The 24468-nt window shown below is 45.4% G+C and overlaps 3 long non-coding RNA genes across 5 annotated transcripts in view, besides 2 other annotated features; 2 read left to right on the top strand and 1 right to left on the bottom strand.

The window, feature by feature from the left end:
* FAM171A1-AS1 (FAM171A1 antisense RNA 1) overlaps positions 1 to 2912 on the bottom strand; it is a 32653-nt gene extending 29741 nt beyond the window's left edge. For both annotated transcript variants that reach the window (XR_007062068.1, XR_930696.3), the window contains exon 1: positions 2828 to 2912. This is a non-coding gene — a long non-coding RNA (FAM171A1 antisense RNA 1). The remainder of the gene's footprint in view (positions 1 to 2827) is intronic.
* LOC107984211 (uncharacterized) lies at positions 162 to 3242 on the top strand. The gene is made up of 3 exons (XR_001747379.2): positions 162 to 1206; positions 1301 to 1483; positions 2300 to 3242. It is a non-coding gene; the product is annotated as an uncharacterized LOC107984211 (long non-coding RNA).
* Positions 1384 to 1433: a silencer, noted in NCBI's record as "silent region_2170". NCBI's record gives its function as "represses an Ori minimal core promoter by ATAC-STARR-seq in GM12878 lymphoblastoid cells {active_cell/tissue: GM12878}" and the evidence as "EXISTENCE:reporter gene assay evidence [ECO:0000049][PMID:35858748]".
* Positions 3243 to 4098: 856 nt separating the features above from the next.
* The window catches only part of LOC105376434 (uncharacterized), a 34557-nt gene continuing 14187 nt past the window's right edge, over positions 4099 to 24468 (top strand). For both annotated transcript variants that reach the window (XR_930699.2, XR_001747378.2), the window contains exons 1-2: positions 4099 to 4123; positions 21545 to 21737. This is a non-coding gene — a long non-coding RNA (uncharacterized LOC105376434). The remainder of the gene's footprint in view (positions 4124 to 21544; positions 21738 to 24468) is intronic.
* Positions 9930 to 11129: an enhancer, noted in NCBI's record as "P300/CBP strongly-dependent group 1 enhancer chr10:15242369-15243568 (GRCh37/hg19 assembly coordinates)". NCBI's record gives its function as "activates an origin of replication core promoter dependent on BRD2, BRD4, P300/CBP, MED14 and CDK7 cofactors, with strong dependence on P300/CBP, by STARR-seq in HCT116 cells {active_cell/tissue: HCT116}" and the evidence as "EXISTENCE:reporter gene assay evidence [ECO:0000049][PMID:35650434]".

Below are 24468 nucleotides of genomic sequence, written 5' to 3'. Positions count from 1 at the left end.
GATCACTTCAGCCCATCTCTGTGAAAAAAATTTTTTTAATTACCTGGTTATAGTGGCTCATGCCTGTAGTCCCCACTACTTGAGAGGCTGAGGTGGGAGGATGGTACTGCTGCACTCCAACCTGGGTAAGAGAGCAGATCCTGTCTCAAAAAAAAAAAAAAAAAAAAAAAAAAAAAAAAAAAAAGTCTTTGTCATTGTTTCCTTGGTGGCAGTCTGCAACGCAGTTGTCAGACTTGTATTTGGAGACCCACCACCTAGACACCTAGGAATTTCCTCTAGGGTTAAAATCTATAAAAATCCACCTTTGTCTGTAGTTTTGTTCAAGAACACCAAATAACATTTTGATGTGTTTCAGGTAAAGAGGGATGTCTGCACTTAACAAGAATCTGATGTTTTATGGTCAGTATTGATCCATCTTGGAAGAGCTTCAAGAAGATATCATTAGAATGACCAGAATCCTCCCAGATGTATAAAACTATTCATCAAAATAAAATCATTAATGGAGGTGTTGGGACATAACTGGCAGAAATAAATTAAGCCAGCTATGTTTACAGTCAACAAAATCAGTATTTGTGAATTCCATGCAGGCAAAGAACTAATCACAGTGGTTTTGATGATTTTCATTCTCAAGTGGTGGTGTTGCCTGTTTGGCTTTTAAGGGGGAAAATAGTTGAGCAAGTCCTTGACAGTGGGACAGCTAGCCAGATGGGAGCCTGGGGGCCTAAGGAGTGAGACGCCCTTTGCGCGGGAGTGGACATCTCACCAGTAAGTGGCAGGGGCATCCTTGCAGACCTGGCTAAGACTCCAGGGAGAAGGCGTTGGTCAGCTCCCCTGAAAAGAATAAGGAAGTTGCTCCTCCAGGAAAATCCAGGGCCAGACCTAGATGAGGAGGGACGAGGGAGGAAGTCCCGGAAGACCTCTCTGCTGTCATTGACCCCAGTCCTTTGCGGCTCTAAGGTTGCCGCCAATGGAATCACCTCCTTAAAACGTCAGTTTCTAGAAGAGCCTCATTTAATGCATGTTACCTGGGAAAGTCGGGTAGCACATTAACTGTAAGCGCTGATCCTGAGAGATCTGGCAGGAAGATGGGGGTGGAGAAGACTGCTTTGCTGACTCCTCCTTAGGTGAGACTCACCTGGATGGGCCCCGATGTATTAAGCAGCCAGCAGCAGTCACAGCATGCCGTGTGCCGAGGACAACAAGCAGGTGGGTTTGCAGAAGGGCAACTGGGTCGGCTGAAGATTTTTATCACATTTTAACAGTTGTCCTAACTGGGGCTCAGTGGTTCTCATTTTCTCAGGATGCCAACGCTGATCACTAGAGTGGGATTCTCTGAATGCAGCACCGTGGCCACAGACTTTACACATTTATCCTCTCTCTCCCCACGGAGGGTGGAAGGGTGAATATGTCACAGTATTCCAAATCAGTTACGTGGTCTGAAGGACGACAGCCATCAAAGGCATCTTGCTCCCGCCCCCTAGTGGTGAGTTTTCCCCACCTGTAACGGTTTAGTCCAGACACACAGGGCCACTCTGGGAAAGTAGGGGTGGGCGTGCACAGGGGTGAATCTGCCACTGGGTCTCTCCCCAAGGTGAGGTGGGTGGAGAGAAGGGGACTGAGGTTCCTGGAGTCTCTACCTGGAAACAATGTATTGGAAACAATCATTGCATTCAATCCTCAAAATCTTTCAAGGAAGGAATGTTTATTCTTCTTTGTTTTGCACTGAAGTTGAGGCTTAGTGGTTAAGTAATTGAGGTCACCCAGCTAGAAACAGTGGTGCACGGCTTAAACAGCCAGCTCTCTGGAAATGAATGCACTTAAATTATAAATGTCCCTGATAAAGGATGCATAGGACAGAACTTACAAATGGAATACATAATAATCTGTATAATGAAATACATAAGGCTGGGCGTGGCAGCTCAGGCCTGTAATCCCAGCACTTTGGGAGGCTGAGGTGAGTGGATCTCTTAAGGTCAGGAGTTCAAGACCAGCCTGGGCAACATGGTGAAACCCTGTCTCCACTAAAAATACAAAAATTAGCTGGGTGTGGTGGTGGGTGCCTGTAATCCTAGCTACTCGGGAGGCTGAGGCAGGAGAATTGCTTGAGCCCGGGAGGCAGAGGTTGCGGTGAGCCGAGATCACGCCACTGCACTCCAGCCTGGGCAACAAGAGCGAAGCTCCGTCTCAAAAAAAAAAAAAAGAAAAGAAAAGAAAAGAAAGTGTGTGCCCTAAGCTCTGCCAGGGGATACACAACATCATTTAAGTGATAGTGACCCTGTGCATTTGGAACTTTATTTAGGATAAACTAGCACAGACAAATGCAAAAACAAAGAGGCATCGCACCCAAGAAAATGAAACCAAAACCAAAAAGGAAGGAAACCAGAAAGCCACAGAATGGTACGTAGGCCACAAGCATGACAAACTCAGTGTGATTTCTTGTGTTCACCCTCTCACAGACATCGCTTATGCAGGTGTTTAGACCTAGAGGACCTCATAAAAATGAGTAAAGTTAGAAATGGGGGGTGATTTTTCAACCATATTGATATTCCACGATTTCTTGTTTGCTGCATTGACACCATAGTTAAAGCAAGTTGCAATTATGTCTTGGGGACTTTTATGACATCACAGAGAACTTGAAAAGGGCATGATGGTTGTCATGGTCCTTCAAACAGGAGAAGGCAGTGACAAGGAGAAAGGCAGTTGCTCTCATAGATCAGGGAGAAAGCCAGCTAAACTCCAGGCGAAATAGAAATTGCAAGTCTTCTCCTCCCCGCCAAAAAAAAAAAATGATTTTCAAAGCTGTAATTGTAAATATACACTAAAATACCTGGCAAATGTTTTTTCCATTCTTCGCAGCCATTGTGAGTTGTTTCAGGTTGGTATTTTGGTACCTTCAAAGTGGCTCATAATTCTCGCATTGCTAGGCTTTTGCACCTTAACAGGATGGGCAGGAATAGAAGAACCTGAAAGAGGCTTGGTGGTCTCACAGCAGAGGAAATTGAAGGCTGAAGTCACAAGTGTTGTGTTGACCTTTCCACATATGCAATGGGTGACCACACAGAGGTGGGCCTCATCTCCTGACACTCGGCCCAGTGTGCAGCCACCTCTGCATGCTGCTGCCCCATCTCACCTCACTGGCACCCTCTGCTATCTGTCTACAGTATGCATTCAGCACTCCATAATGAGGGTCTAAGGCATAAGTAAACCATGCTAATTATTAAAATCTAGGATTTGGAGAAGAAGCTCTGGGTGTCAGGCCTGGCTCTGACCAACAGACAGGTGACTCACTTCTGATGCTTTAGCAAGAGGTTGGGGGTATTTGCTCTCCTCACCTCTGGGTGAGTTGAATTCAAGTGAGACAATACATATCAAAGTTTTTGTAAGTTGTAAATTACAAAAACAGTTTATTTCTCTGAACTATTACTAGTATCTTACAGTTCCCTAATCTTGTTGCTCTAGTGTGACAATGGTCATTTTGGGGCTATATCAGCTGCTTCTCAGCTACTTTTTAAGGAAAATGGTAGACAAAACAGTGGCATCTCTTTTTCCCCATTCTATTACTTTTGTTTGTTTGTTTTTTTGAGACAGAGTCTTACTCTTTCACCCAGGCTGGAGTGCAGTGGCGCTACCTTGGCTCACTGAAACCTCTGCCTCCTGGGTTCAAGAAGTTCTCCTGCCTCTGCCTCCCTAGTAACTGGGACTACAGGCATGTACTACCATGGCTAACTTTTGTGTTTTTAGTAGAGATGGGGTTTCACCATTTTGATAGTTACTACTGAATGTCAATTTGATTGGATTGAAGGATACAAAGTATTGATCCTGGGCGTGTCTGTGAGGGTGTTGCCAAAGGAGATTAACATTTGAGTCAGTGGGCTGGGAGAGGCAGACCCACTCTTAATCTGGGTGGTCACCACCTAATCAGCTGCCAGCACAGCTAGAATACAAAGCAGGCAGAAAAATGTGAAAACAGAGACTGTCCTAGCCTCCCAGCCTCCATCTTTCTCCCGTGCTGGATGCTTCCTGCCCTCGAACATCAGGCTCCAAGTTCTTCAGTTTTGGAACTCGGACTGGCTCTCCTTGCTCCTCAGACTGCAGACGGCCTATTGTGGGACCTTATGATCATGTGAGTTAATAATAAACTCCCCTTTATATATACATATGTGTGTATATATGTATGTGCATGTGTGTGTGTGTATATATATATATTATTATATATAATATATATATTCCATTAGTTATATCCCTCTAGAGAACCCTAATACAACCATGTTGGCCAGGCAAGTCTCGAACTCCTGGCCTCAAGTAATCTGCCCACCTCGGTCTCCCAAAGTGCTGGGATTACAGGCGTGAGCCATGGTGCCCGGCCCCATCGTACTGCTTTCTGCAAGCTTCAGCTGAGTAATATCTCCTTTGCTCAAAGGGGATGTTTTGCCTGGTGTCTGAAGATAGCCAGTGAGCTCTGTGAAGGTGCAGCCTTCTTAAAGATTTGTCTGGAAACATGTGTTAGGACACTGTCTACAAGGCAATAATGTTAGGGTAAGTCCCCAATCACCATAATTTGCTACTGAAAGCAATACCTCTGTAAAACATGGCAGCCGTTCTTGAATTCTTGAATTGAGTTGCTCTATGGTAATAAGATAATGTGCATGTAACTATAGAACAGTGTTGCTCAAACCTGGGGTGTTAGGCCATTCCTGTGTTGCTGTAAAGGAATACCTGAGGCTGGGTGATTTATAAAGAAAACAGGTTTAACTGGCTATGGTTCTGCAGGCTGTACAGGAAGCATGGCACCAGCATCTACTTGGGGAGGCCTCAGGGAGTTTACAATCATGGCAGAAGGCAGAGCAGGAGCAGGCATCACACATGGCCAGAGTGGGAGCAAGAGAGGTGCCATAGTTTTAAACCAGATCTCACGTGGACTCACTCATCAGCAAGGGAACAGCACCAAGCCATTCATGAGAGGTACCCCTGTGATCCAAGCCCCTCCCACCAGGCCCACCTCCAACACTGGGGATCACATTTCAACATGAGATTTGGCGGGGACATGGATCCAAACCATGGATACATGTTAGCATCCCCTGGGAGCTGGAAAAAAAATATTAAAGCATTTGGGCCCCACCACAGACTGATTGAATTAGGATCTCTGTAGGTGAAACTGGTTTAAAAACAAAACAAACAAACAAAAACTCTCCCTAGCTGATTCTCATACACAGGCTTGTAGACCACTGCTTTAGAAACATTGAAGCTACTTTACAGCCTGGTAGCACCTTCCATTGGGTACCTCAGGGAATTATTCACTTTTCTCTTTGTTTCTGGGGTCGATTAACAGCTATACCCCAGATTTGCAGTTGGGGAAGCATTTATGTGAAATAGCATGTCAAGTTGGGCAGCAGTGCCTAACAGATTTCTCTCTTCCTGTTCACAATGGCCTGTTGAAAAACCGAAGGTGGACACACTGTGTCAACATGTCTTGGCTCTACCGTCCGTCCTCTTCCCAAGGTCCAGGTTATTCCTGCCATCTTGCCCGAGCAATTTCACATCACTGCCTGTTTGGGACTCCCACGTCCGTATCTGCATCCCAGGCCTGCCACTGAGTTCAAACTGCAGACTGAGCATCCTCAAGCACCTAAAACTCTATTTATTATCTTCATGTTGTCCCGTGAATTCCCTACTCCTCCGCAAATCAGGGAAACCAGTTCTCCTAGTTTTTGCCTATGTACTATCCCAATAAATGGCCTCACCATATAGTTTCCTTGGCCAGAAACCTCAGGGTCACCCTACAAACATCTGTCAACCTCACCCCCAAATCCAGGCAAGTTCTTTTGACTCCACTTGCTGTCAGGAAACAATATGAATTTTTTTTTTTTTTTTTTTGAGACGCAGTCTCGCTCTGTCGCCAGGCTGGAGTACAGTGGCGCGCTCCTGGCTCACTGCATCCTCCGCCTCCTGGGTTCAAGAGGTTCTTCTGCCTCAGCCTCCCAAGTAGCTGGGATTACAGGCACACGCCACCATGCCCGTCTAATTTTTGTATTTTTAGTAGAGATGGGGTTTCACCATGTTGGCCAGGCTGGTCTTGAACTCCTGACCTCGTGATCCGCCCGCCTCGGCCTCCCAAAGTGCTGGGATTACAGGTGTGAGCCACCGCGCCTGGCCAACAACATGAATGTTTTCATGTTTCTGTGTAGCTCAGTTTCCTGAGCAAAAGTTACTGGCAACCTAGTATTAAAAACTCTAGACAAATGTAACAGTTTAATTGAGCAAAGAACAATTCTCGAATCGGGCAGCCCCCTTTGTCATGCCAGACCCCTATTAATCTCAGTAGGGATGGCACCAGGTACAAGAGGCCAAAGACGAGATCCCGCACCAGCGAAGGAGACGTGGGTTTTATTGGGGGCTTACATACAGGGGAGAGAGTCCAGTGGCAGTGGGCCAAGCAGGAAAACTGCAAATCCTTGCAAAATGCATGCAGTTTAGATAGCATTTTCATTTTACACCCTCCCTCTAACAAATTCCACCTGGCAACCTTCATTTAACCCAAAACAAAGGGTCTCAATCCCCTGTACGACCTGTGTTCCATGGGCCAGGGTGGGGGATCAAATGTTTTTCATAGAAAAGGAATGGATCTCGGGGTGGGCTACTCCCAGATTCCCTAGCATGGAACTCTGAATACACATTCAGGTGTGCCCGCCCTACAGGGTCATTCTCAGAGTACGGTCAAGTTATCAGTGCCAGGTGCTCCTACCCTACTGCCTGAACCAGAATAGGCTGAGGGAGACTCCGGCACTGCCACCATGTCAGAGGCAAAGGAAAGTGACGTGAGGTCCAGAGATAGCCAAATTGCCTACTGCTTACCATTTCTCTCACTTGAAGGCAGTTTAAACAGTTGGCCCCTTTGATTGGCCAGAACTCGGTGATTGGTAAGGGCAGTTACCAGTCTGTTTGTACATCCCGTTATAGTTCCCTATGTGGGAGAAACCTTTAGGCCAAATTTACAAGGAGGCCGCTTTAGGCTAAACTTAATTTAACACTGGATTAAAGGATGAGGGAATATTAATCATTTTGGAAAACAGATCGTGAATTACTCTGGAGAGATTTGCGGGTTTATCTCTCTTGGAGCTGTGCCTTTGCATTCATTGATCTGCACTGGCATTTGCTGTAACACATAGGGCCTTCCCATTCTCTTCCCTATGACAATTTGTTTCCATTAGAAAGTTAGGATTTCTGGCTGGGCGCAGTGGCTCATGCCTGTAATCCCAACACTTTCGGAGGCCAAGGCGGGTTGATCACCTGAGGTCAGGAGTTTGAGACCAGCCTGGCCAACATGGTGAAACCCCGTTCTCTACTAAAAATACAAAAAAGGTTAGCCAGATGTTGTGGCACATGCCTGTAATCCCATCTACTCGGGAGACTGAGGCAGGAGAATCACTTGAACCTGGGAGGCAGAGGTTGCAGTGAGCTGAGATCGTGCCATTGCACTCCAGCCTGGGTGACAGAGCAAGACTGCATCTCAAAAAAAAAAAAAAAAAAAAAAACGTTAAGGTTTAGGGTTTCTCTCCAAGTCTCTAGAAGGGATGGGGGCAGCTATGATGTAGTTCCTATATAATCTCTGAAATTCATAATTTAGGGGTTTCTGTCTTTTAAATGCTATCCATTGAGGGCCCGAATGGAACAAAACAGAGAGACAGGAGTTCGCCTCCTTTTGTTTTTCTGCCTCACTGTTGAGCTGGGTGATCTCATCTCATCTTTTTTTGCCCTTGGACTGGGACTTAGCCCCATTGGCCCCCTGGTTCTCAGGCCTTCAGCCTGAGTTACACCACCAGCTTTCTTGGGTCTCAGTTTGCAAATGGCAGATCGTGGGACTTCACAAACACCATCATCTTGTAAGCCCATTCCTCCTAATCTTCTTTTATATACACACCAATTGGTTCTGTTTCTCTGGAAAACCTGATTAATAGACCTGAGGAATGAAACTGTAACCTCTCAGTGGGTTCTTCTTGCCTGCTGCCCAGATGCAGCCAATTTATCAAGGCAGGGGAATTGTAATGGAGGAAGAGTTTTACCCACATAGAGCTGGCTGAATGGGAAACCAGGGTTTTATCATTATTCATATCAGCCTCCCTGAAAATTTGGAGGCTAGGATTTTTCAAGGATAGTTTGGCAATCAAGGGAACGGGTGCTGCTGATTGGTTGGGGGTGCAATCATAGGGGTGTGGGGAATGGTCATTGTGAGCACTGAGTCTGCTTCTGGGTGTGGCCCCAGGACTGGTTGGTGGGTCCAGGTGAAGCCATTGGTCAGTCATCAGAAATGCAAAAACCTGAAAAAGGCATCTCAAAAGGGCAATCTTAAATTCTATGATACGATGCTATTTGCAGGAGTGATTGGGGAAGTTGTACATCTTGTGGCCTCCGGAACAATGGCTGGTAACCATTTCTGTCTACACCCTAGCAGAACTCAGCTTCCTATCAGTCTCCTAACCTGATTGTCTTTCATTAGCTTTACAAAGGTGCTTTAGTTTGGGGAAAGGGCTGTTATCATTGAAACTGTAAACTAAGTCTCTCCCAAAGTTAGCTTGGCCCAAACCCAGGAATAACTATGGGCAGCTTGGAAGCTAAAAGCAAAATGGGGGTTGGTTGGATCAGATCTCTTTCACTGTCATCATTTCCTGTTATAGTTTTTGCCAAGGCAGGTTCAAAACCAGGGAACCAACTGTAAAAGACAAAGTATAATAATAACTCCCTAAAGAGTTTCATTTTACACACCACTTTCATAATACATTCCTTTTTTGTTGAGACACAGTCTTGCTCTGTCACCCAGGCTGGTGGGCAGTGGCACAATCTCGGCTCACTGCAACCTCCCACGTTCAAGTGATTCTCCTGCCTCAGCCTCCCAAGTAGCTGAGACTACAGGCGTGTGCCACCATGCCTGGCTAATTTTTGTATTTTTAGTAGAGACAGAGTTTCACCACGTTGGCCGGGCTGGTCTCAATCTCCTGGCCCCAGGTGATCTGCCAGCCTCGGCCTCCCAAAGTGCTGGGATTACAGCCCCAGCGTAAGCCACCACGTGAGCCACCACGCCCGGCCTCATATTACATTATTGTGTTATGATTCTCACAGCTACCCTGCTGTATAGCTAAGGCAGGTGATGTTAATCCACACTTGCATTCAAAGACACTGAAATAAATTCTTACCAAAACAGTGGCGAAGACCCAGGATTTGCACTGAAACTCACATGCTGTGTTCAGAAGTGCAGTATTCTCTCTACCCCACACAGCTGCCTTAGAGAGATGAATTCCAGGGCTGGGAACCACGGCTAACACTTAGTACCTCCCACATTTCCAGAAGGGCTCTAAACGTGTCCTGTGGTCCTTACAGTCAACTGGTGAGGTTATTTCTTCTGTCATTTCACAGACAAATAAAGAAGCAGAGTAACTTCATTTATGAACGGTGCTCTCTGCCACTTTGCAATGCTTATTCAATAGAGCTGCTTTCATTATGGAAAGCTAAAAGCTTTGTTTCCCAGAATGCTAACCATTTTATAAACAGTATAACATAATTATAAATGTCTTCCAGAAACACAGTAATAGTAATGTTAAATGATCCTGCGAGCCTCAGAAAAATAACTTGATAGCTACTCTCCGAGGTTGGTTATTTTGGAGTCCTAGTACATTAGTCACTCTTCAAAGGCCAGAGAAGGTAAGAGAGAAGGTTAAAATGAGATCAGATGCCCAGCAGTGGGAAATTTCACATTTGAGATGATGAGACCCATAAATGGGGCATAATGATGGCAAATAAAAAATATCTACTTGGAAACAGAGAAAAGCTCAAATTGCATTGAAGATCAGTTACATTTTTCCTGGACAGAGGACAGAAAAATTTTCTTCTTTTTCTTGAGTAAGTGAAAAGGAATATAAGGTCTTTCTCAGGGATGAGGTTTGCCTTTTCTGGATTAAAGGGTAAAAGCTGAAGAGGCACATCTTCAGACAAGTAGCAATAGAGAACAGAGACAATTCTTGGCCATAGAGCATTTTTGAGGATCTCATATGAAAGATAGTCATTTTTTAAAGATGTCATTTTTCTATAATACTGCAGCTAGCTCCCCTCAGATCATCACCGGGATAAGACAGCATCAATGGATATGTTGCCCAGGCTGGTCTCAAAATCCTGGCCTCAAGCAACCTCCCACCTCAGCCTCCCAAATTGCTGGAATGACAGGTGTGAGCCACCACACCTGGCTGCAAGTTGAATTTCTTTGGATGTCTATTCTTTGTGCCTGAAACTTCAGATTGACGTACTTAGAAAATATAGGGCTGAACTGACCCCCATATAACATCTTGACTTTTTCAACCAAACTTTAATTATTTCAACTGAATAATTTAAAAAAAAATTTTACCCTTGGTGACAGCTGTCAAATGATGGAATATCTTGTGTGAATTAGAATCTCTTGATTTTCAGGAATACCATCATAATAACAATGATGTTGTGATTTTTTTAACTTGAGAATGACCTTTGGAATAATTAAAAAATGCCTTGGTATGACTCAATCCTTTTCCTCCCTCTGTCCTCTGAGGCTTTACCACTGACCTGGAATTCAGGATTCCAGAAATCCTTGGTGAATGAAGTCACCACATTCTTTGTGAAATTATTCACAAGTGTGATCATTATCAGTTATCTGTTTCCTTTGATAAGGTTACTCCCAATTGTTTCAATGTGTGACTCTATAGATAAAATCGTATTATAGTTTTGTTATGATTCATATCGCTAGTATGCTGATAGTCTAGATAATAACAGAGTGATGATATTGTTGTGGCTTCTTTATTCCAAGTAATATCAAGCCCCAATAAAAAAGTTTGGTTTTTCTTTTCTGAGACAGGGTCTGGCTCTGTCACCCAGGCTGGAGGGCAGGGGAGTGATCACAGCTCACTGCACCCTCAAACTCCTGGGCTCAGGTAATCCTCCTGCATCAACCCCCCAAGTATCTGAGACCACAGATGCATGCCATACCAGTCGGCTAATTTTTATTTTATTTTTATTTTTCGTAGAGATGGAGCTTCACATGGTTGCCCAGGCTGCTGTAGAACTTCTGGCCTCAAAAGATCTTCCTGCCTCAGTCTCCCAAAGTGCTAGGATTAAAGGTGTGAGCCACTGCACTTGGCCAATAAAAGTTTTGAAGATGTGAATAGGAAATTCACCAGGAGCTTCCTGTTCACCTCCTTGCTTCAAGTTTATGGAAGTCTTGACTTATCCTTGTCCTTGTCACCAACAAGCCTTGTAGCCGCAGCCTCTGCTCAGGGGGACAGTGTTCCCACCCTCTTCACCAGTGAAGCTGCTGAGATCCCAGGGCAGCTGGCTCCTTCCCATGGAAAGATGAACTATGATTCCTCATTTCCCCAATAAATTTACGATTTTGCTGAGAAAACAAATATACATATTTGAGAAATTTAACAGTGCAAGCAGATAGAATATCAGACATCAAAATCTGTATGAAATTTCTCCACCTCGGAGAATGACTGAGTTTTGGCTTCACTCACACTAAATAATGAAAAAAGGGAACAAGCAGTGTAGGTTTCACTCAGGATGAAAGCCCTGGAACCCTAGAAGATTGTGGGGATAGGTAATGGATGGATTCAACATGCCTTTCTCTTAGGACTGTCTGAGATCTTACAGCTGAGATTAGCATAAACATCTTTGAAAGACAAATTCTGGTTGTTAGAGAAAACTATGTCATTATTCAGAGGGGACTGTCAGGCACCTCTTTGCTGAAGAGGCCACACAACACAGAGTGGGGGATGCCTCTTGCTAAATAATGTTTCAGCCACATGTGGCAAAGAGTTCAGAGACCTGAGGGAGGTCCAGTGCAGACTGAACTACAAACTTCAGCCTTCACTGTCTTAAGAATAAGTTAGTCTGGGCTGGGCACAGTGGCTCACACCTGTAATCCCAGCATTTAGGGAGACCAAGGTGGACGGATCACCTGAGGTCAGGAGTTCGAGGCCAGCCTGGGCAACATGGTGAAACCCTGTCTCTACTAAAAATACAAAAATTAGCCAGGTGTGGTGGCACACCCCTGTAATCCCAGCTACTTGGGAGGCTGAGGCAGGAGAATCACTTGAACCTGGGAGATGGAGGTTGCAGTGAGCCGAGATCCCGCCACTGCACTCCAGCCTGTGCCATGGAGCAAGACTTCGTCTCAGAAAAAAAAAAAAGAATAAGTTAGCCTTGGCCGGGCTCGGTGACTCTTGCCTGTAATCCCAGAACTTTGGGAGGCCAAGATGGGTGGATTGCTTGAGCTCAGGATCTTGAGACCAGCCTGAGCAATATGGGGAGACTCCGCCTCTACCAAAAAAAAAAAAAAAAAAAAAAATTAGCTGGGCATGGTGACACATGCCTGTAGTCCCAGTTACTCAGGAGGCTGAGGTAGGAGGATCACTTGAGCCCAGGAGGTCAAGCCTGCAGTGAGTTGTGTTCATGCCACTGCGCTCCCGCCTAAGTGACAGACTGAGACTCTGTCTCAGAAACAAAACCAAAAAAAAGGTGGGGGACACTTGCATGGCAGCTCATGCCTGTAATCCCAGCACTTTGGGAGGCCAAGGTGGGCAGATCACTTGAGCTCATGAGTTTAAGACCAGCCTGGGCAATACAGGGAAACCCTATCTCCAAAAAAAAAAATGCAAAAATGACTTGGGTGTGGTGACCCACAGCTGCAGTCCCAGCAACTCAGGAGGCTAAGGTGGGAGGATCGCTTCAGCCTGGGAGGTGGAGGCTGCAGTGAGCTGAGATCGCACCACTGCACTCCAGCCTGGGTGACAGAGTGAGATCCTGTCTCAGAAGGTTAGTCTTAAGAATCCTTTGAATGGATCAGAAAGGGAGAGCCCTTCTCCAGAATTGGATACCGGTGTAACAGGGTGTCAGTGTGCGGAATTTACAAAGAGAATGCCTGGAAACCGGCCCCACAATGCTTAGTCCACTTTAAAAAGGGTCATGAGAGACAGTGAGAGCATTTTGGAGGATTTCTTTGGACAAAGCAGTGCTGATAACTCCAGGCACCCTCCCACCCTCTGACCCTATCCCTGCTTTACTCCCAAGCCCAGGGTTAGGGGAGGGGGCAGAAACTTCTGCGAGCAAAGAGGCTAAAGCTACAGGAGGGAGAGAGAAGTGCTGACCACAACTCTCCCTCTGACCACATGTTCTCCATTATTGCCATCCCCTCCCACCCCAGCAAAGTAAAGATTGAATGCCAAAGCAAACTAATTCAATACATTAATTCAAATGTTCAGTCCTCTGCACCACAACTGCAGCTCAGGAGCATGGCTTCACAATGCGCCTTCCAAGTTGCAGCAGGGATTCTGCAGGATCCTGACTCAAGGTACACATGAAAGCCAGGTGCGGAGGCTCATGCCTCTAATCCCAGCACTCTGGAAGGCTGAGGTGGGTGTATGGCTCCAGCCCAGGAGTTTGAAACCAGCCTGGGCGTTATGGCGAAACCCTGTCTCTACCAAAAATACAAAAATTATCCAGGTGTGTTGGTGCATGCCCATAGTCCTAACTATGGAGGACTGAGGTAAGAGGATGGCTTGAGCCTTGGGAGGCAGAGGTTGCAGTGAGCTGCCACCATGCCCAGCTAATTTTTTGTATTTTTAGTAGAGACGGGGTTTTACCATGTTGGGCAGGATGGTCTCAGTCTCCTGACCTTGTGATCCACCCACCTCGACCTCCTAAAGTTCTGGGATTACAGGCATGAGCCACCGCGCCCGGCCCCCTAAATCACCATTTTTAATCTCCCTAAGGCAGAAGCCGAGATGGAAGCCTGGCCATTAAATGAAGGGCTGGAATGGATAAAACCCAGCTAGCAAAAAGATAGTTCCAGATTAAAAGACTATGCTAAGCATGCTATCTGGCTTTGGTTACAGCCGAGATGAAAATGATGCTATTCTTGGTACCCTTAAATAGAGTTTGTTTCTTTAACTTCAGCCTCATACTATGATGTTTGACACATCCTGTTTATCATTCTTTTAGGTGGATCTAGTTCTGTTAAAGATATAATTCTGTATGACTCAATCTTTGGCTTCCTGCTCCACTTTATTTTTCTATTTTTTGGTTGACCCAGGTCATAATGCATCCATAAATATAAAAGGGAGAATGAAAGAACCAGAGAGAGCTCTCTTCAAAGCAGGCCCAAGTTGGTCTTATTTTTTTTTCACCACACATTTGTGATATCTACGGGTGCAGACAGATGGTTTCCAATGATGCTTATTTTTCTCATACTCTTCGTTTCTTCAGTATCCAGAGCAATTGATTTTAAAATTATTCTGAAGTGCATCAGGGTTCTGGGGGTGGGAAGATAACCCGGGCAGGTGACATCTTCCGATCTTTATTGAGTCATGTATTCGGGTCTTAGGCAATTACTGTTTCAAAAACGATTCCACCTTTTTTTAGAAAAAAAATAACGTTGGCTGGTCATGGTGGCTCACAGCTATAACCCCAGCACTTTGGGAAGCTGAGGCAAGAGGATCACCTGAGCCCAGGAGTTGGAGACTAGCCTGGGCAACACAGTGAGACAGCTCCACTAAAAAAAAAAAAAAAAAAAAAAAAAAAAAACGTCACATGTGGTAACGTGCACCTGTAGTCCCAGCTACTCAGGAGACTGAGGCAGGAGTATCACTTGAGACTGGGAGGTGAAGCCATGATCACACCAGTGCACTCCAGCCTGGGTGACATAGTGAGATGGAGGGAGGGAGGGAGGAAGCAAGGAAAGGAGGGAGGGAGGGAGGGAGATGGGGGAAGGGGAAAGGAAGAGAGGAAAGAAGGAAGGAGGAAAAGAAAGAAAAAGAAGAAAGAAAGAAGAAAAGAAGGAAAGAGAAAAAGAGTGTTAAAAGAAAATCATAATGTTTGAAAACCATTTTCCTAGGCAGTGGCAAGAGGGATTTATTTGTAGCTAGTTGTGTGATTGTGTTTTAGAAAAAAAAAAAAAAGATGTAGCAGAGAGCACTGGGCAGAGGAAGAGGATGACAGCCGCACTCCTAGAACAGAGCCATTTCCCAGCGCCGGGAGTGTGGGCTCACACCAGAGGGAGAAAACGGATAGGAAGCTGAGTCCACTCAGCATCTTCCGGGGTGGCAGCAAAATCCTACACTGGTTTCAAGGTAAGGCTTAGGGAGAGCGAATGTTCCTAAAACTGAGTTATTCGAGGGATTAAAAAAATTAGCAGCTGCCCTCAAAACTGTAACTCAGAGAAAAAAGAGAAACTCATGCAAAGAGAGAGGGTCACTGCTTCCAGATCTACGTCTGACGGTTTGACGTCATCACAGAAGGTGGAGCCAGAAGGCCGTCAGAGGTCACCTGGTCCAATCTCCTCCTTTGCAGATTTAATGCAAGGTTAAAACTGAGGTTGGCTTCATTGTCCACACAGAGGTGACCTACTTTGGTGATATGCAGTAGCGTCCAGCCCAGCCCAAGTGGAGCCCTTTCAAAATGGATTTTCTACTCTAAAAAAAGGATAATTTTGAGGACCTTCAGAGATAATACATCAGGAGCATGATCTAACTGGGGAATCTTTTCCCATGCTTTTTGCCCTACATATGGATTTCCTGGCGCCATCTATCCAAAGCATTCCACACCGAAGATATGTGGGGGCGTGATGGCTGAAAAATATCTATGCATAAATTACAAGTTGCTATTTTTAATCTGAATCTGCCTTAACTATTTCCCCTTCCCTTCTTTATTGGAGAACATGGGCAAATTCTGTTAAGTAATAATTTCCTGTTGAGTAAGAGTTAGGTTTAGTCCATTGTTCTCTTTTTTTTTTTTTTTTTTTTTTTTTTGAGACGGAGTCTCGCTCTGTCGCCCAGGCTGGAGTGCAGTGGCGCGATCTCGGCTCACTGCAAGCTCCACCTCCTTGGTTCATGACATTCTCCTGCCTCAGTCTCCTGAGTAGCTGGGACTATAGGTGCCTGCCACCACGCCCGGCTAATTCTTTTGTATTTTTTAGTAGAGACGGGCTTTCACCGTGTTAGCCAGGATGGTCTCAATCTCCTGACCTCGTGATCCGCCTGCCTCGGCCTCCCAAAGTGCTGGGATTACAGGCGTGAGCCACTGCGCCCGGCCGTCCACTGTTCTCTTGCCGGTGTTTCCATTGACTCCCGTTGCTCATATCCAGGTCTTTAAAGGCTGATGTCAGAGAGGATCAAGTCTCTAATGATAGTGCGTGCTGTTTTAGTTTATTCAGTGTCATGCCCTATTTAGCAGTTATGTCTCAAGTACTATGCAATAAGCACTGATATAGTCCGGATATTTGTCCCACTCAGTTCTCGTTGCAATGTAATCCCAATGTTAGAGATGAGGCCTGGTGGGAGGTGTTTGGGTCATGGGGACAGATCCCTTGTGGCTTGGTGCCATCCTTGCAATAGTGAGTTCTTTCATGTGAAATCTGGTTGTTTGAAGGTGCATGGACCAGGCACAGCGGCTCGCGCCTATAATCCCAACACTTTGAGAGGCCAAGGCAGGTGGATCACTTGAGCTCAGGAGTTTGAGACCAGCCTGGGCAACATAGCAAGACCTCATCTCTACTAAAAATTTGAAAAAATCAGCCAGGCGCAGTGGCTCACGCTTGTAATCCCAGCATTTTGGGAGGCCAAGGTGGATCACGAGGTCAGGAGTTTGAGACCAGCATGGCCATCACAGTGAAATCCCATCTGCACTAAAAATACAAAAATTAGCTGGGCGCGGAGGCGGGCGCCTGTAATCCCAGCTACTTGGGAGGCTGAGGCAGGAGAATTGCTTGAACCTGGGAGGCAGAGGTTGCACTGAGTTGAGTTTGCGCCACTGCACTCCAGCCTGGGCGACAGAGCTAGACTCCGTCTCAAAAATAAATAAATAAATAAATAAATAAATAAATAAATAAAAATTAGCTGGGCATGGTGACATGTGCCCATAGTCCCAGTTACTCAGGAGGCTGAGGCAAGAGGATTGCTTCAGCCTGGAAGATCAAGACTGCAATGAGCCATGATTGCACCACTGCACTCCAGCCCAGGTGACAGAGCCAGACTCTGTCTCAATCAATCAATAAGTGTGGCACATGCCCGTCCTGTCTCTCTTGCTTCCACTCTCGCTATGTGATGTGACTGCTACCACGTCACCTTCCACTGAGAAATAAAAGCTCCCTGAGGCCTCCCCAGAAGCCAAGCAGATGCCAGTGCCATGCCTATACAGCCTGCAGAACCGTGAGCCAATTAAGCCTCTTTTCTGTATAAATCACCCAGTCTTAGGTATGTCCTTATAGCAACACAAGAACAGCCTAACACAAGCACAAAACAAAGTCCTGGAGATGCAGAGATAAGTACAACAGGGTTCTGTCCTCACAGCTCACTCGTGCAAGGAGTCCTAGCAATAAGTGTGGTGGATAATTTTCAAGTTTGGTTTGGGATTATCTCACGTTGTTCGAACCAAAAAAGGTGAAGCAATTTCAGATTGTAAGTTGTTATGGTCATGCTGATGGTCAGGGTGCAAATAGAAAAGTTCAAGCCATTCCAAGGACTGTGCTGGTCAGCGCAAGATATACAGGGATACACTGAGGCCTGGCATGGATAAATAAAGATTGTATGCCTATGTAAAAATGTATGGGGTCATAAGAGACAAGCCATCTTTCCCCATCTGCTGTAACAGCCTTAGGGAAAAAAGTCCAGTGGAATCCTGTACTGGTCCGTTTTCACACTGCTGATAAAGACATACCCAAGACTGGGTAATTTACACAGAAAAAGAGGTTTAATAGACTCACAGTTCCACGTGGCTGGGGAGGCCTCACAATCATGGCAGAAGGCAAAAGCCACGTCTTACATGGTGGCAGACAAGAGAGAATCCAAATCAAGCAAAAGGGGAAACCCCTTATAAAATCATAAGATGTGGTCCAGCATGGTGGCTCATGCCTGTAATCCCAGCACTTTGAGATGCCGAAGTGGGTGGATCACCTGAGGTCAGGAGTTGGAGACCAGCCTGGGCAACATGAAGAAACCCCATCTCTACTAAAAATACAAAAAATTAGCCGGGCATGCTGGCGGGCACCTGTAATCCCAGCTATTGGGAGACTGAGGCAGGAGAATTGCTTGAACCTTGGAGGCGGAGGTTGCAGTGAGCCGAGATAGTGTCACTGCAGTCCAGCCTGAGTGACAGAGTGAGACTGTCTCAAAAAAAAAAAAATTCATCAGATTTCTTGAGATTTATTCACTACCATGAGAACAGTATGGAGGAAACTGCCTTCATGATTTAATTATCTCCCACCTGAGGAATTATGGGAGCTACAATTCAAGATGAAATTTGGGTGGGGACACAGCCAAACCATATCAGATTCTTAAGGACTTGGGCAGGGAGAGGAGGTCTATGAGAGAGCTGAGCACCAACTCAGCTGCCACAGCTGACACCTTATTCAGATATCTTGAAGTTGACCTTGACCCTTCTGGGTCTTTTCATAAGAACAAAAGAGCTACTGAGAGTGCAGCCACCAGGCCAGCCAAGTCCTGGCTTAAGAAAGTTATCAGCATTATTGCATCCTTCTCCCTCCAAATCTTTCCTACAGAGAAATGCCTGGCCTTTGAGAATCTTCTACGGGGGGACCAGGGGTATGAAGTTAGTATTGATCAATGTTCTAACCTGCAGTTTTTCTCTTTTCTTTTTGTTCATGTGCTCCATCAGTAGATGTTTTCTTTCCTTCTTTTTTTTTTTTTTTAAGCCCGGGATTAAAGAGTGCTTCATTTGATTCAGCCACTTGGGTATATGAGGGAGAACTGAAACTGAATGGAAATTATTCACATGAGCCCCCAGGAGCTACCCAAATGTGTGGCAACTCAGGAATACCATAATGGAGGTGTGCAGAAAGTGCTCTGTGACAGCTCACCCTGCCCTGGTTATTTAAAAAGAAAGTTAGGTGTGATTTGAGCTATCAGTACAACAGGTAATTGGCAAAGTGTTGATGAAATAAACCTTCTCTCCTCATCTCTAATTACCCATAGCTCAAAGGAATTATTCTTTTCACAGCCAGACACAAAGAGCACTCTCTTCCTTGTAAAAGAGAGAGGGGCTGGGTACAGTGGCTCACACCTGTAATCCCAGCACTATGACCAAGGCAGGAGAATTACTTGAGCCCAGGATTTCAAGACCAGCCTGGGCAACATAGTGAGACCCCCATCTCTACAACAAAATTTTTAAATTAGCTGGACATGGTGGCATGCCTCTGTGGTCCCAGTTACTGGGAGGCTGAGGTGGGAGGATGGCTTGAACCCAGGAGGTTGAGGCTGCAGTGAGCCATGATTGCACCACTGTATTCCAACATGGGCAACGAGTGAAAGGCTATCTCAAAAAAGAAAAAAAGAGAGAGAGAGAGATTGAGGATTTGAAAATAAGACTTAGGAATATAGAGCTCACAAATGCTGGGATGAGACTCAGATCTCTGTCTCTGGTAATCAGTAGAGGGAAACGCATTCTGTGGATGTATAGATGTGATTGATGGAGCAGAACCCAAACTTACGTACATTTCCTACTTACTGTAATGACTACAGGTGGAGATCTAATTTAGACCTAGAGTTCTTCAATTCTTGGAAGAACCATTTAAGTTGCAAAAATGTAAGTCATGTAGCATCTACTGTCCTAAGAGAAAGGTCTACTATGACCTATTATCTTTGGCTTGACAAAATTGTCTTCCCAGGGAAAGGTGTAATCTACTTAAGGTTCTGGCCCATTGAAAGAATGGAGACCCATACCCCAGTCTTTCTCTGCAGTATTTAAAGTTAGGGAAACGGGCTGGGTGCAGTGTCTCATGCATGTAATCCCAGCACACTAGAAGGCATAGGCAGAAGGATGGCTTCAGCCCAGGAGTTTGAGACCAGCCTGGGGAAAATGGAATACTTTTTTTTTTTTTAATTAGCTGGGCATGGTGGCATGCACCTGTACTCCTAGCTACTCAGGAGGCTGAAGCAGGAGGATCACTTAAGCTCAGGCGTTCAAGGCTGCAGTGAACTTTGATGGCACCACTGCACTCCAGCCTGAGTAACAGAGCAAGACCTTGTCTCAAAATAAATAAATAAAAATAAAGTGAGTGAAACCTATGGATGGGGCCTGTTAGCTATGAAAAAAAAAAAAAACCCCACAAAACAAAACAACCACATAGCAATAAAGGGCTACAAGATCCATGAAGCAAAGTGACCATGAGCATTGAGAGAAACGAGACCAGCGAGGAGGCCACTGCTGTGAGTCAGAAGGGGAGACGTAGGCAGGAGTGGTCCTGTCCATGAAATGGCAGAACCTCATCTTGGGGCAGGAGCTGTCTGCCTGCGAGCATCCTAAGTGTAGCCACTGCCAGACAACAACAGTAGCGAAAAACAGAAGTCCCCATGGCAGCTGCAATGCTAGATCCCTGCCCTGGGAGCACAGAGGCCTGTTCTGAAGTAACCAACTCCAGGGAGATACTAAAATATTCTCCAGCCTCCACGTCCAAACCACCCATTAAGCATGGTGGGCTGGGAGCAGGAAATTCCAGGCCAAAGATTCCTGGCCACAGTGGGCACCATGGGACTGAGAGAGAGGAGAAGGTTAGAACCGCTCCAGCTTTTTTTTTTTTTTTTTTTTGAGACGGAGTTTTGCTTTTGTTGCCCAGGCTAGAGTGCAATGGCACGATCTTGGCTCACTGCAGCCTCTGCCTCCCAGGTTCAAGCGATTCTCCTGCCTCAGCCTCCCAAGTAGCTGGGATTACAGGCATGTGCCACCATGCCTGGCTAATTTTTGTTTTTTTTAGTTCAGACGGTCTGTCTGAAACCAAGGCTGAGAATCTGGAAGAGCAAGGGAAAATTCTAGGCTAGAAGTTCAGGAGAAAGGAACCATTGTCAGGTTGTGAAATACAGAATCAAAGCCAAACACAAGATGTCACACAGGAATAAACTGAAGAGCAAGCAGTGCAGAGCCAGGAATGAAATGGCCCTGACTTAATGGTCCAAATTCAAGGTGGCAAGTCAGAGCTAGGGCCCATTTAGGAAGTGTGAATGCCCGGGCAGGATGTAAAACAACAAGGCAGGCTGACCTGCGGGTGGTCATTCCAAGCCAGCATTTTTTATCCACACTCATCAGCTCAGTATTCTCTCCTTTACTCATCCAAAAATTAAGAAATTTTTGGCCAGGCATGGTGGCTCATGCCTGTAATCCGAGCACTTTGGGAGGCTGAAGCTGGTGGATCACTGGAGGTCAGGAGTTCCAGGCCAGCTTGACCAACATGGCAAAACCCCGTCTCTACTAAAAATACAAAAATTAGCCAGACGTGGTGGCAGGTACCTGTAATCCCAGCTAGGGGAATTGGTTGAACCCGGGAGGCAGAGGTTGCAGTGAGCTGAGATCATACCACTGTACTCCAGCCTGGGCGACAGAGCAAGACTCTGAAAAAATAAAATAAAAATAAAAATAAAATTCCAGTAATTGGAAAGTGGAACTAGAATTTTAGCTTCCTTGAAAACCCTGAACATTTAGCTTCCTATGAAACTCAAGCATGCTCAATCTCTTTCTCTTCCATTAGGCAAAAGGACTTGTAAGTATCATGCTCTTTCTCTTCGAAGAGCTGGAGAAATCAGAGGCTCTGAACCTCATGGAAGAACGCACAGGCAAACCAGGCAAAAGCTGGAGTTTCAACTGCAGTCAGCCGGCCTTCACTTTATCTTATGCTGCCTTTGCCCTCCAGAGAGGTTTTGTTCCCAAAAAATCTCCGAAAGGTAAAGCCATACACACATCATTTATTTTAACATTACCCAAATGGAGAGAAAGAGGAAGTGCAGAAGGCTAGCCGGGCCACCCTATGCTGATTTGAATGAGGGGGAAGTGTGGAAGCAAGAAAGCATCTGATGAAAAATGAGCGTGCAAAGCATTCGATCCAAAATCGCTTGCTAAACTCAAGTCTGAGGGGAGTTTTAGTTTGACTATTAGAGTCCTAGTAGCTGCTTTCCTATCCCCTATATATGCCAAAAGTTGGGGTGATGGCTGAGCCCAGTGCCTCCTTTGCCCAGCGACTCCCTCGCCCAGCACTTTGGGAGGTTGAAGTGAGCCCAGGAGTGGGAGGATTGCTTGAGCCCAGGAGTTCAAGACAAGCCTGGGCAACATAGTGAGACCCCATCTCTACAAAAACTAAAAAAATTAGCCAGGTGTGGTGGTGCGCACCTGTGGTCCTAGCTACTTGGGAGGCTGAGGTGAGAGGATTGCTTCAGCCCAGGAGGCTGAGGCTGCAGTGAGCTATGATCATGTCCCTGTACTCCAGCCTGGGCAACATAGTGAGACATTGCCTCAAAATAAATTAAAAACAATACAAATTAAAATGTAAAAAACCGAAGTTGGGGTGATGATATGCACTCCAATGTTGAAAGAATAAATAAAAGAATGACGGTACCAACCAATCAACAAAATTTGGAAAGTTGTGTAACATCATCAAAAGGATTATCTTAAGGTACAAGTTAAAAAGTGGCCTCCTGTCATATCATTTCAGGAAGTCAGAGACTACACACACACTCAGGAGGAGGAGCTGGAGAATGGCTTTCTAAAATGCCCATGCTGCCTAAGCTACTGGCTTACTAAAATTTCCATTACAAACTCTAAATGTCTCAGAGGTAGTTTTCCAACACCACCATCTTCATGGGCAGACCCATGGCGGCGATGCTGGAGGGGCGGATATGGTGACACATTGTAGACAGTGGAGGATGGGAGGATAGTGGCCTTTAAGTTTTGCATTTCTTAACATTTAAAGAGCAGTTCATTTTTGCACACTCTGAATATTTTCTCAAGAGCGGGTGTGGTTTCCCACAGTTTTGCTAAGGAGTTGCACACAGTCAAACACGCTATCTTTCATGTTACTTGTTTTTGAAAAATACAGTATTCTAAGAGTTTTCTCCTGAAATATATGTGAAAATCCTGGAGTCGTGTTTGATCTTTAAAAAGCAAACTTTAAACTTCTCCGAGTTTGCTTGTTCCAAACAATAAATAATTATGGAAAAACTAAGTGCAAGTTGAAACATGAAGCATAATTGTAGATGTTAAACAATCCAGTATACTCATTGAGAAAATAGGAAAAGATATACTTAGTTGTATGAAGAATTCACTTACAATTTCATCATGAATATTGGAAGCAATTTTAATTTTGAAATGGCAGTATTTCTGCACAACCGCATCCATAATCCATATGGTTAAAAAAACAAAAATATTTCCTAAGTTGTTCATTAATTATCATAGCCTTAAAACAATCTTTTTACTGAGGAAGGATTACATTTTTTATTAACTCTTTTTCTTTTTTTAGAGACAGAGTCTCACTCTGTCACCCAGGCTGGAGTATAGTGGTATGATCATAGCTCACTGCAGCCTCTAACTCCTGGGCTCAAGTAATCCTCCTGCCTCAGCCTTCCAAGTAGCTGAGATGACAGGCAAGTGCCATCAAGCCTGGCTAATTTTTTTTTTTTTTGAGGAGTCTCGCTCTGTTGCCCAGGCTGGAGTGCAGTGGCATGATCTTGGCTCACAGCAACCTCAGCCTCCCGGGTTCAAGTGATTCTGCTGCCTCAACCTCCTGAGTAGCTAAAATTACAGGCATGAGCCACCACACCAGGCTAATTTTTTTGTATTTTTAGTAGAGACGGGGTTTCATCATGTTAGCCAGTCTGGTCTCGAACTCCTGACCTCAAGTGATCCACCTGCCTCGGACTCCGAGAGTGTTGGGGTTACAGGTGTGAGCCACAGCGCCGGGTCCTGGCTAATTTTTTTAAGTTTTATTTTTGTAGAGACAAGGTCTTACTATGTTGCCCAGGCTGGTCTCAAACCCTGAGCTCAAGTGACCCTCCCACCTCAGCCTCCCAAAGCACTGGGATGACAGGCATGAGCCACCATGCCCAGTCTCTATTAACTTTTAAATGGTTGGTTAAAAGATCAGAACTATTGTTTGATTGATGTTATATGTTACAGGTTGGCAAGGTTATTTTCTTTTTTTTGTTTTTGTTTTTGTTTTTTTTTGAGACGGACTCTAACTCTGTCACCCAGGCTGGAGTGCAGTGGTGCGATCTCTGCTCACCGCAAGCTCCACCTCCCAGGTTCACGCCATTCTCCTGCCTCAGCCTCCGGAGTAGCTGTGACTACAGGCGCCCGCCATCACCCCCGGCTAATTTTTTTGTATTTTTAGTAGAGACGGGGTTTCACTCTGTTAGCCAGGATGGTCTCAATCTCCTGACCTCGTGATCCGCCCACCTCGGCCTCCCAATGTGCTGGGTTTACAGGCATAAGCCACCGCACCCACCCTGCAAGGTTATTTTCAATGCCATCTTTTGGTTCAGACCTTCCAAAGCTCTGTCAAAGCCCCAATTTTTCTTGAACTTTCATCCCATCCTAGACCACCATGCTGAAACTCAGACCTCAATCTCAGATCCTGGGTTTTCTGGCTGGAGTTGCCCTTCCTGCCTCTCCTTGCTACTCCTG

Source organism: Homo sapiens, chromosome 10 (assembly GCF_000001405.40).
Source record: "Homo sapiens chromosome 10, GRCh38.p14 Primary Assembly".
Classification (NCBI taxonomy): Eukaryota; Metazoa; Chordata; class Mammalia; order Primates; family Hominidae; genus Homo; species Homo sapiens.
This window is presented reverse-complemented; position numbering and strand designations above follow the sequence as displayed.